The following is a 12,911-nucleotide window of genomic DNA, read 5'->3' as shown; positions in this document are numbered from 1 at the left end:
TACATTTGCTGAGGAGTGCTTTACTTCCAACCAAGTGGTCAAGTTTGAAATAAGTGTGATGTGGTGCTGAGAATAATTATATTCTGTTGATTTGGGGTGGAGAGTTCTGTAGATGTCTATTAGGTCCGCTTGGTGCAGAGCTGAGTTCAAGTCCTGGATATCCTTGCTAACTTTCTGTCTCGTTATCTGTCTAATGTTGATAGTGGGGTGTTAAAGTCTCCCATTATTATTGTGTGGGAGTCTAAGTCTCTTCGTAGGTCTCTAAGGACTTGTTTTATGAATCTGGGTGCTCCTGTATTGGGTGCATATATATTTAGGATAGTTAGCTCTTCTTGTTGAATTGATCCCTTTACCATTATGTAATGGCCTTCTTTGTCTCTTTTGATTTTTGTTGGTTTAAAGTCTGTTTTATCAGAGGCTAGGATTGCAACCCCTGCCTTTTTTTGTTTTCCATTTCCTTGGTAGATCTTCCCCCATCCCTTTATTTTGAGCCTATGTGTGTCTCTGCATATGAGATGGGTCTCCTGAATACAGCACACTGATAGGTCTTGACTCTTTATCTAATTTGCCAGTCTGTGTCTTTTACTTGGAGCATTTAGCCCATTTACATTTAAGGTTAATATTATGATGTGTGAATTTGATCCTGTCATTATGATGTTAGCTGGTTATTTTGCTCGTTAGTTGATGCAGTTTCTTTCTAGCCTCGATGGTCTTTACAATTTGGCATGTTTTTGCAGTGGCTGGTACTGGTTCTTCCTTTCCATGTTTAGTGCTTCCTTCAGGAGCTCTTTTAGGGCAGGCCTGGTGGTGACAAAATCTCTCATCATTTGCTTCTCTGTAAAGGATTTTATTTCTCCTTCACTAATGAAGCTTAGTTTGGCTGGATATGAAATTCTGCATTGAAAATTCTTTTCTTTAAGAATGTTGAATATTGGCCCCCACTCTCTTCTGGCTTGTAGAGTTTCTGCAGAGAGATCCACTGTTAGTCTGATGGGCTTCCCTTTGTGGGTAACCTGACCTTTTCTCTGGCTGCCCTTAACATTTTTTCCTTCATTTCAACTTTGGTGAATCTGACAATTATGTGTCTTGGAGTTGCTCTTCTCGAGGAGTATCTTTGTGGCGTTCTCTGTATTTCCTGAATTTGAATGTTGGCCTGCATTGCTATGTTGGGGAAGTTCTCCTGGATAATATCCTGCAGAGTGTTTTCCAATTTGGTTCCATTCTCCCCGTCACTTTCAGGTACACCAATCAGATGTAGATTTGTTTTTTTCACATAGTCGCACATTCCTTGGAGGCTTTGTTCATTTCTTTTTACTCTTTTTTCTCTAAACTTCTCTTCTCACTTCATTTCATTCATTCGATCTTCCATCACTGATACCCTTTCTTCCAGTTGATCGAATCAGCTACTGAGGCTTGGGCATTCGCCACGTAGTTCTCATGCCATGGTTTTCAGCTCCATCAGGTCATTTAAGGACTTCTCTACACTGGTTATTCTAGTTAGCCATTTGTCTAATCTTTTTTCAAGGGTTTTAGCTTCTTTGCGATGGGTTTGAACTTCCTCCTTTAGCTCGGAGAAGTTTGATCATCTGAAGCCTTCTTCTCTCAACTCATCAAAGTCATTCTCTGTCCAGCTTTGTTCCATTGCTGGCAAGGAGCTGCATTCCTTTGGTGGAGGAGGGGCACTCTGATTTTTAGAATTTTCAGGTTTTCTGCTCTGTTTTTTCCCCATCTTTGTGGTTTTATCTACCTCTGGTCTTTGATGATGGTGACGTACAGATGTGGTTTTGGTGTCGATGTCCTTTCTGTTTGTTAGTTTTCCTTTTAACAGTCAGGACCCTCAGCTGCAGGTCTGTTGGAGTTTGCTGGAGGTCCATTCCAGACCCTGTTTGCCTGGGTATCAGCAGCCGAGGCTGCAGAACAGTGAATACTGCTGAACAGCAAATGTTGCTGCCTGATCATTCCTCTGGAAGCTTCATCTCAGAGGGGTATCCGGCCATGTGAGGTGTCAGTCTGCCCCTACTGGGGGATGCCTCCCAGTTAGGCTACTCGGGGATCAGGGACCCACTTGAGGAGGCAGACTGACCGTTCTCAGATCTCAAACTCCATGCTGGGAGAACCACTACTCTCTTCAAAGCTGTCAGACAGGGACATTTAAGTCTGCAGAGGTTTCTGCTGCCTTTTGTTCAGCTATGCCCTGCCCCCAGAGATGGAGTCTACTGAGGCAGGCAGGCCTCCTTGAGCTGCGGTGGGCTCCACCCAGTTCGAGCTTCCCGGCCACTTTGTTTACCTACTCAAGCCTCAGCAATGGCAGGCACCCCTCACCAAGCCTTGCTGCTGCCTTGCAGTTTGATCTCAGACTGCTGTGCTAGCAATGAGCAAGGCTCCATGGGCGTGGTACCCTCTGAGCCAGGCGCAGGATATAATCTCCTGGTGTGCCTTTTGCTAAGACCATTGGAAAAGCGTAGTATTAGGGTGGGAGTGACCCGATTTTCCAGGTGCTGTCTGTCACAGATTCCCTTGGCTAGGAAAGGGAATTCCCTGACCCCTTGCGCTTCCTGGGTGAGGCGATGCCTCGCCCTGCTTTGGCTAATGCTCAATGTGCTGCACCCCCTGTCCTGCACCCACTGTCCGACAAGCCCCAATGAGATGAACCCAGTACCTCAGTTGGAAATGCAGAAATCACCCATCTTCTGTGTTGCTCACGCTGGGAGCTGTAGACTGGAGCTGTTCCTATTCGGCCATCTTGGAACCGCCCCCACCCTCTCTTCTTTCCCTCCACCTTCCCCTCTATCCCTCCACCCTTTCCTCTATCCCTCCACCCTCCTCTCCATCTCTCCACCCTCCCCTCTTTCCCCCACCCTCCCCTCTACCTCTCCACCCTCTCCTCTTCCCTTACACCCTCTCCTCTTTCCCTAAACCCTCTCCTCTTTCCCTACACCCTCCCCTCTTTCCCTACACCCTCTCCTCTTTCCCTACACCCTCTCCTCTTTCCCTCCACCTCTGCCAGTGTGGGTCCCCTCTGCTTCTCAACCACTGGGGCTGTTAAACACAAATGCCAGGTGTCAAAAAACCACAACCAAGCAGTCAGGCAGCCTCAGACTCAATGGCACTGTGACAGCTGAGGAATCTAAGTGCAGACCCCTCCTGGCATTCGGTAGAAGGTGTGTTTGTGTGAGAAGTATTGTTCATCCTTGAAAGTTTTGAGATTGGGGGAATCAAACTGAATCCTAAAATAAATGATTAAAGGGATGAATTGAGCGAAAGATGGGTGAGAAGCTGGATGCTGCTGTGGTCAAGTCCAGGCTCTAGACTTGGGATTTAAGTCCCAGGTCCATTCTCGTGGCTCTAAGACCATGTTTGCTAAGACTCAGTTTTTGCAGCTGTAAAATGCTGAAACGTCGGTTGTTCTGAAGATTTAAGAGGTCCTTCACCATACTCAACACAGTGCCTAGCATGTGGTAACACTTAGCAAACAGAAGCTGTTGCCTCTGTTTGACTTCCCAGTGTGGTGAGCTCAGGCGGAGCTGTGACAAATTCATCTCAACCCCCGACCCTGAAAGCCAGAGCCTTGGGCTGGACCCTGTATTTTCCAAGGCAATCCCCCAAGGTCCTCACACTACCAGGGGTCAGCCTCAGACTCCACACAACTTCACATCCCAATACATGATGATTGGGAAGTGCCATCATATTTACCTACAAAGGCAAGCCTGCTAAGACTCTCACCGGCACATCAGTGAAAGAAATAAAAGTATTTTCCTTTATAGAAAAAAAGTAAGGGTAATTAAAATGCTTCTTAAATCCCAACTGGTTTCTGCCTGTTACAAAATGGCCCTTCTTTCCCTTTGGTTGATACCATGTCAACTTCATTTGTATGTTAAAATATATAAACTTTGTACACTGTCAAATGACATTCTTTTCTGTTTTGTTTTGTTTTGTTTGAAATGGAGTCTCGCTCTGTCACCCAGGCTGGAATGCAGTGGTGTGATCTTGGCTCACTGCAACATCCACCTCCCAGGTTCAAGCGATTCCTGTGTTTCAGCCTGCCAAGTAGCTGAGATTACAGGTGCATGCCACTATGTCCTGCTAATTTTTATTTTTTTAGTAGAGACGGGGTTTCACCATGTTGGTCAGACTGGTCTCGAACTTCTGACCTCAGGTGATCTGCCCGCCTTGGCCTCCCGAAGTCCTGGGTTTATAGGCGTGAGCCACTGTGCCCGGCCATCAAATGACTTTTCTAAGAAAGCATGCCCCTTGGAGGGAACTGGTCCCTTAAGGAGGTAGCAGAGGTATGGACTGAGGAGAAAGACCTAAACCGGACAGAGGCTCTCAACTTGGGGCAGTATTATTCCCCAGAGGTCAGGGGTATTCAGAAACATGTGGCAATCATTACTTTTCTTGATTGTCACAGTGACTGTGGAGCACCACTGGTACTCAGCATTGGGAGGGCAGACATGCTAAGTACCCTGTACTGTTTAGGGCAGTCCCACACAGTGAAGAATTGTCCCACCATGTTGACCAATAACTCCCCAACTGAATCATGCTTCGAACATCCTTTGAGGCTCAAGGGGGTCTTTAAACTAGGTGAGCCCACAGACCAGAAGCTGGGACCGCTGACTGGGCCTCAGGAAACAGGGTGGAGTCAGCTTGGCCCTGAAGGGTATTCTTAGCTGGACTGGGAGCTCCATGCCAACACACACCATGGCCAATTCACCTTTGTACACTGCAGGGCCACCATGGTGCTCACTACACAGCACATGGTTGGGAACTTCATGTTTTATTTTTTCTTTTTTGTTTTTGAGAAAGAGGCTCACTCTGTCGCCCAGGCTGGAGTGCAGTGGCGTGATCCCGGCTTACTGCAACTTCCGCCTCCCAGGTTCAAGCAATTCTCCTGCCTCAGCCTCCTGAGTAGCTGAGATTACAGGTGTGTGCCACCACACCCAGATAATTTTTGTATTTTTAGTAGAGACAGGGTTTCACCATGTTGGTCAGGCTGGTCTCAAACTCCTGACCTCGTGATCCACCTGCCTCGGCCTCCCAAAGTGCTGGGATTACAGGTGTGAGCCACTGTGCCTAGCCAGAGAACTACATCTTAAAAGGTGAGTCAGAGTTTGTCCTCAGTGGGATGGACTAGCTGGGCAACAGCTCTCGCATGAGGAAAACAAGAGAGCCCCTGTCTTGAGGACAGAAGGTGCTGCAGGGACGAAAGGAGCCCAAAGGCCTAGAGTAGTATATGTCCAAGTGCAACCATTGGCACACGAGTTAGTGCCCGAAGTGTTCAGTGCATATTCCACTGCCCCGCTGGCCTCTCTGAGGGTGGGGCTCAGAGATTTGCATTTTAAACAAACTCTTGCCATTTGAGAACCCCAATGAAATTGTGTCGGATAATCTGTGACTGGGGAGTGGTTTTGTTGGGATATAGGGAATTGGGTCTGATAATGTTCTTTGGCACTATGGCTGAGAAGTTTTCTGGATCAGAAATTTGCATTTTGTAAAAGTCTTTTAAGGCATCTGGGTGTTCTGTTAAGGCATGACAATGAAATTAGAAATTAGATTTCTAGGTACATTTTTCTTAGCTTTCAAACACTGTTTCTTCTGAAAGCAGCAACCAACCTCAGATTATTGTCTGGCAGGAAAGAGGGTTAATGTAGCCCTAGGGACCAAAGTTGAAAAGTTCCAAAGAGCTAGTAGCTGACATGAATGGAATGCTTAGTGTGAGCCCAGCACTGTGCTATGTTCTGACACAAATGGCTCGTTCACACCTCACAACACAGCATCCTTGTGAGGTGGGTACAGTTATTGTCATTGCCATTTTACAGACAGTGAAACTGAGGCTTAGAAACATTATATATCTCAGCTATGTTTACACACTAGTAAGCGACTCAGAGAGGACTTGAACGTAGGCAACGAGACTTGCCAAAAACCTTACGCCTGGAACACTTCTGGTGTGTACAGCCAAAGCTGTCCAGCACATAGACACTCTGCGTGTGACCTCTTGAGAGGATCAGAAGCTTGATTCTTTATGCACTGAATCCTTTATGCTTGTCCAGCCTTGCCAATTAGTGAGCCTTCCCCTTGCCTCCCTGTCTGTGAGTGGAGGTCAGGAACTGGAATTGGGATAAAATAGAAGAATCTGTCAGTATCCCCCTCAAAAGGAAATATTTATACTCTAGATAGTTTGGCTTCCAGTGTGTGACTTTAGAATTCGTAAGGCTCTACTGCTTCAAAATAATTGGCTTTTAAAATTTAACTGATAGCTCAAGTCACTTAAAATGAGAATCTTTTAGATTTTTCTTTTCTACTAAGAAGCAAAATAAACAAAAAAAAAGGGACTAATGCAGCAATCAGAAAGATAGAGTTCCATACTGACTTAAATAGTTGCCCCATCAGAGGAATGAATTGATTATTTTATGTACTGTAAAGTTTAGTATTTTCTACTGATGGTCAAGAAATGCTGGACATGTCAATTATCAAGAACTAAGAGGCTTGGGTGACTTTAGACTTCCTTATTCTGCTACTCTGACTGCATCTGTCACTAGTTTGGGCATGGTCCAGAAAGGAGCCCAGTGTCTAAAGGCCTGCAAACGACTCCCAGAAGATTCAGTAACCTCCCTCAGGCAACTGGCTCTGCTGAGGATGTATTCATTGTGATTTGTAAAAGTTATCTGGCTTCACTGAATAGGTATCCACACAACAGGACAGGTGGTAGCCTAGGGGTGTCAAGTGTTTGCCTATGTTATTTACCAAAAAGCACCTCAAACCATCAACATCTTTATCTCCCCTGTGCCAGAACTGTGAGAGGCTGAAAGGTGAATGAAGCACACTCTCCGGACCCTGGTGGGGAGTACTCATCAGTCAGTGTCCTAATACAAGGCAACCTTCAGCTACAGAGAGGCACACATCGCTATAAGTGGGAGGGAGAAGGGACAGCAGCCCTTACATGGGAGAATACGTGTGCCCTATTTATGCTTGTGTGTGTGTGTGTGTGTGTGTGTGTGTGTGTGTGTGTGTAGGGGAAGTATTAACAACCATCAATGGGAAAAAAGAATGCATTAGAAATCCCTACTAAAAATCTCACCTCCAATTGAACAGCTCCTACTTCAACAGAATTGGGTTTTCTCCCCAAAGATCTGGGGACTCAAAAACTTATAATCCACTCATTCTCCTGTTGCATGACCCCTAAATCTGCTGTTCCAATCAAATCTAGGGTCGCATGAAGGTTTACCTTTTGCCAATTTTAAGAGACTGCAGAGGGAAAAAATACAGACTTTGGGTTGTGTCAGGCCTGGATTCTAGTGTAGACTTCGTCAATGCTGACTGCGTGACCTTCAGTAGCACCTGGGCTTCCGCTGCGTCACTGGTAACATGGGGAGTTCTTCCTTCCACTTAGGATTGTCATGAGGATTAAACAGCACACACCATAAAGCAGACACTAAAATCAGTCATCTTCTTTCTCCTCCCTCTCCCCCAAGGCCATTCATTCTGTTATCCCAAGCCAGGCTTAGAAATATTGGCCAGGACTTTTCAGTTAAAATTAAATAAACATACTCCATTCTCCTTAAGTGAGTAGAACCACTGCTTGGGCTAATATTATTCTTTCTTTTTTCCTCAATAGGTTTTTTCTCCTCTCTCTACCTGAAGTAGGAAAGGCAGGCATGAAAAGGCTATGTTGGCAGTTGGACCTAGATCAGAGCCTAGGCCTACATGTGTTTTGTTGATCAAACATTAACACCAGCCCCTGGTTTGATGAACGGACCAGAACCTCTCCCGCCCCTGCTCTCAACCCCTAGGCACATACAAAACATGTTTACAAAGCCTGCTGACCCTATGGTCTATTTGGACAATGAATTTTGTGTCTCTCTAAGAAAGTTGCATTTGGTTCCTAGTCAATGCATAAAGTAAAAATCGTCTATAATCAAAATTACTCATGAGAATCCCTTAAAATGTTCATAAAGTATCCAACAACACTGTCTCACAAAGAGTCCATGCAGGCACATTTTTCTCCTACTAAGGACTAGGTCGTCACTTCTTTTGACCATCAGATAAAGAAAGTTTCCTTGTGTTTGGGGACCACAAGGCCTGAAAAACATACCTGCATCTTGAAAGACTAAAATCATAAACAGAGGCTAAAAGAAATTTCAGGTAATTCATGCATCTCCCACCTCATATTCTCCTGGGGCATATGGATGGAGAATTGCCCACACTATTCAAGTAGGTAATTATTTTCCTTCTCTCAACTTTGTCTGTGTTTTTTGTTTGTCTTCCTAACTGAACTCAGGTTAAATGTCAGCCTCATTAAATTCTAAATCAAGGTTATTTTGCATTGCATCTTTTCATAAAAATGAAGGATCGACTGATTTTTTAATAAGTGAACAGGGTTACCAAGCCAAGCTGGTAATCTCAGTCCCAAACCTTAATTGAAGACAATGAGAACTGCATAAGCACGCCTCAAATGACGCTCTGGCCAGGAGAGAGGATGTGTAGCCCTGATAAAGAAGAGAGAGAAAGGACAGCAGACTAGATAGAAAATTGCAAAATGGAAGACTTCTGTGTGTGCAGAAAGGAATACTTCATATTTTTTCTTCCCAGAATTTTATGGCAGATGGAGAACTTAGAAATCTGTTTTTATCCTCTATTCATAATGAGCAGGATAGTCCTAAGACACCCTGAATTACATTCACCACAAGCAACTACTATGTGCTGGGCTCTTTGCTCCAGGGTGCTGGGGAAACAAGGATGAATCAGTCACTCTCTAGTCCTTAAGGCTCTCAAAATCTAGTAGAGGAAAGCAGGAGAGGAAATAATAAATGCACTAAATGCTATGGATATAACAAGACATACTTGGATGGAATGCAAAGGATGAATTGTTGGAAGAGGTTGCCATGGGGTTTTATAGGGGAGGTGATTACACAGGGTATGTGTTTCGCTGACCCATAGAGAAGTGAGGTGAGCGTCTCAGGGAGAGACAGCCTATGCAAACAACCAAGTATAATTTAACCAAACATACAGAATTTTCACTATCTTAAAAATTATTTAAATAAGTAAACAATATTTCCTCTGTATGCCAGTTAGCAGCTATGAACAAGAGCTGGAGAAAGCAAACTCCTATGTAATCAATAACTAAAGCACTATAACATGAATCATATTTCCTCTGCCTCACCTCACATTCTGTGATAAAAGAGTCCACTGTCAAAAAACTTCTACACCCCAACATCACATCATCGCCTTTTGGCAAGGCCCTTTCAAGATCCATTTTCTAATTACAATGAATTGAGCTTATTTTAAGTCTGTTTCTGAAGACTCACTTTACTCCCCTTTCATTATGAGATCCACGTGCTGATATTATTCTATTCTTTCCTTTCCACGGGATCAGAAAACATGAATTCATTTATTCATGTCAGTGTCACAACATTCACTTTCTCTTACAAAAAGCCAAAGTACAATGAACTCATCTTCTTTGTGAAAGAAATTCCCATTTTGTAAAATAATAGTAAAAGTCAAACAAATATCTCTGGGTAGTGGTACAGATCTACCCCAATAGAATTATTGTATGACTATCATTTTTATATTACAGAGCACACTTAAAATGAGAGAGCAGATGGGCAGGAAGCACTCACAAATCATCATGAACTCACATGAACAGACCACTTGTTTGCATTGTCAATAAATCATCGACCGATGCTTGATGAACAGAACGCAACTAGGCTGTACAATATTGTGCTGATTCAAAGAGCTTCATGCATGGATTAGTCCTGAGAAGACACACATGCCCACTCCATTTCTGGCATATAAACTCAAAGAATAGGAATAGAATGCATTTTGGTCAAGTCACATTTGAAAAACTGGAATGAGGATGATACATCTCCTTATTAATTGGGACATAGCCTGGTAAGCTGCCACACACATGGAAACATACACACATACACACCCCAAAGAAACAAACCTAGATGCCTGAAAGAAGGACACCACTTCTGTCTCACCCCATTCTAGAGAGGAAATGCAATTCAAATCCCCTAAATTCCCTCAACTACAGTATTTTAATCTGTAGAATGCCAGTGACACTACTGACCTCTGAAGATTAAAATGAGGATTAAAGGAAGTGACATATATAAAGTACTCACCCAGCACACAGCACACAGCACACAGGTAGGCAGGTACTCAATAAAAGCTGGCTCTACTTCTCTTGCCCTTTATGGATTAATTATCCAGTTATTTCTTACAATGTTTGGTCTTTTTGAATGAATAGCTTATAATCTTTGAAGGCAGAGACCTTTTTTCCCTTTTGTTTTTAAACTGAAGTTTTACACACCGTAAAGCTGCAAATATAGTTAGGGTGGTTTTTTTTCAGTAGCAGTGCTCTAGCCCCATGGGGCTAAATCCTCACAATCCTGTTTCCTTTTGTCCGTGACTGTCTTGAGTGGACCTGTGAATGAGTGCCTGCCAATGAGATAAAGGAGATAAAGGAAAAGTTTACTGGGGGGAGAATGGATTCTCATTCAGTAGATCATCATGCAGTCCAGCAACTCATAATTTTTTTTCTTTTTTTAGACGGAGTCTCACTCTGTCGCCCAGGCTGGAGTGCAGTGGTGCGATCCCGGCTCACTGCAACCTCTGCCTCCCAGGTTCAAGCGATTTTTCTGCCTCAGCCTCCTGAGTAGCTGGGACTACAGGCATACCCCACCATGCCTGGCTAATTTTTGTATTTTGAGTAGGGAAGGGGTTTCACCATATTGGGGAGGCTGCTCTCAAACTCCTTGTAATCCACCCGCCTTGGCCTCCCAAAGTGCTGGGATTACAGTCATGAGCCACCGCGTCTGGCCATAACTCATAATTCTTAGAAGCACTACAGACAATTCTGATACCCAGCCAGGGTTGAGAATAACTTTCCTAGACTGATGACTCTCAAAAGTCTTTGATCATTGTCTACTTTGAGCATCCTATGCTCCACCTACTTCTTTCTTTTTTGGAAACTACAACTGCCTACATGCATGCCACATTATAGGAGCTTTGTCACCGAATAGCAGTGAGACTTTTTAGCAGAACTAATTAGAGTCCTCAGACTAATTAGAGTCTATGGTGACACACTAACTTGAGTTCAGAAAGGCCCTTAATAACTCACTTAGTAGATTACTCTAGCAAAAGTAAAAACCTAGTATTTTATGGGCTTGTTCATCACTTATTAAACCAAGGACTTATATTTTTATCTCATTTCATAATCAATCAGGAGAACCATATCTTTGAGAAGGCAGTATTCTGAAAATTGCTGCACTAGAAAGCAATCATGCTGTGTTGGATCAATTATGTCCGTTTACAAAAGAAGTGAAGGGCCATGTGTTTGCAACTTCAATCACCCCAGTAAGATGATAAGAATAAGAAGAGGTGCTGCCAGACACATCCACTCTCCATTCACACCCTATTCACACTTACAGGCAATTTTCCTCACAAATATTCACATCTTCATTAGCTTTCTCCTCATTCCCCCTTTGCTTCCAATTATTTAAGTAAACTTTCTTTCCCTATCTCCCTTTTGCAAGGCAAAAACTACCTAAGTCATAAACAGAAGTAATTATAATGTATCAAAAATGTATTTTACAGTATAATTATACATAATAAAATACTAGCATCACTATCTTCTAAAACTCTTGAGGGGTCCAAGAATCCCTTTGAGAATCACCATCAAACACTTCAGCTGCCCCTTTAGTGCCTGATTAAACATGTTTTTCCCAAGTAGCAACAATATTCATGATACAAAACAAAACTGTATTTTATTTATTTATTTATTTATTTTTATTATACTTTAAGTTTTAGGGTACATGTGCACAACGTGCAGGTTTGTTACATATGTATACATGTGCCATGTTGGTGTGCTGCACCCAGTAACTCATCATTTACATTAGGTATATCTCCTAATGCTATCCCTCCCCCCTACCCCCACCCCCACAACAGGCCCCGGTGTGTGATGTTCCCCTTCCTGTGTCCCTGTGTTCTCATTGTTCAATTCCCACCTATGAGTGAGAACATGTGGTGTTTGGTTTTTTGTCCTTGCGATAGTTTGCTGAGAATGATGGCTTCCAGCTTCATCCATGTCCCTACAAAGGACATGAACCCATCCTTTTTTATGGCTGCATAGTATTCCATTGTGCATATGTGCCACATTTTCTTAATCCAGTCTATCATTGTTGGACATTTGGGTTGGTTCCAAGTCTTTCCTATTGTGAATAGTGTCACAATAAACATACGTGTGCATGTGTCTTTATAGCAGCATGATTTATAAACCTTTGTGTATATACCCAGTAATGGGATGGCTGGGTCAAATGGTATTTCTAGTTCTAGATCCCTGAGGAATCGCCACACTGTCTTCCACAATGGTTGAACTAATTTACAGTCCCACCAACAGTGTAAAAGTGTTCCTATTTCTTCACATCCTCTCCAGCACCTGTTGTTCCCTGACTTTTTAATGACTGCCATTCTAACTGGTGTGAGATGGTATCTCATTGTGGTTTTGATTTGCATTTCTCTGATGGCCAGTGATGATGAGCATTTTTTCATGTGTCTTTTGGCAGCATAAATGTCTTCTTTTGAGAAGTGTCTGTTCATATCCTTCGCCCACTTGTTGATTGGGTTGTTTGTTATTTTCTTGTAAATTTGTTTGAGTTCTTTGTAGATTCTGGATATTAGCCCTTCGTCAGATGAGTAGGCTGCAAAAATTTTCTCCCATTCTGTAAGCTGCCTGTTCACTCTGATAGTAGTTTCTTTTGCTGTGCAGAAGCTCTTTAGTTTAATTAGATCCCATTTGTCAATTTTGGCTTTTGTTGCCATTGCTTTTGGTGTTTTAGACATGAAGTCCTTGCCCATGCCTATGTCCTGAATGAGATATTGCCTAGGTTTTCTTCTAGGGTTTTTATGGTTTTAGG

General features: G+C 43.2%; 1 protein-coding gene across 14 annotated transcripts in view, besides 1 other annotated feature; it reads right to left on the bottom strand.

The window, feature by feature from the left end:
• Nucleotides 1-12,911, bottom strand: part of PALM2AKAP2 (PALM2 and AKAP2 fusion) — a 531,726-nt gene that overhangs the window by 334,362 nt on the left and 184,453 nt on the right. The window lies entirely within an intron of this gene.
• Nucleotides 7,603-7,772: an enhancer, noted in NCBI's record as "experimental_104554 CRE fragment used in MPRA reporter constructs". NCBI's record gives its function as "activates a minimal promoter by MPRAs in K562 erythroleukemia cells, with activity observed for both the introgressed and non-introgressed 9:112592744 variant alleles {active_cell/tissue: K562}" and the evidence as "EXISTENCE:reporter gene assay evidence [ECO:0000049][PMID:34662402]".

This window comes from Homo sapiens, chromosome 9, assembly GCF_000001405.40.
Source record: "Homo sapiens chromosome 9, GRCh38.p14 Primary Assembly".
Classification (NCBI taxonomy): Eukaryota; Metazoa; Chordata; class Mammalia; order Primates; family Hominidae; genus Homo; species Homo sapiens.
This window is presented reverse-complemented; position numbering and strand designations above follow the sequence as displayed.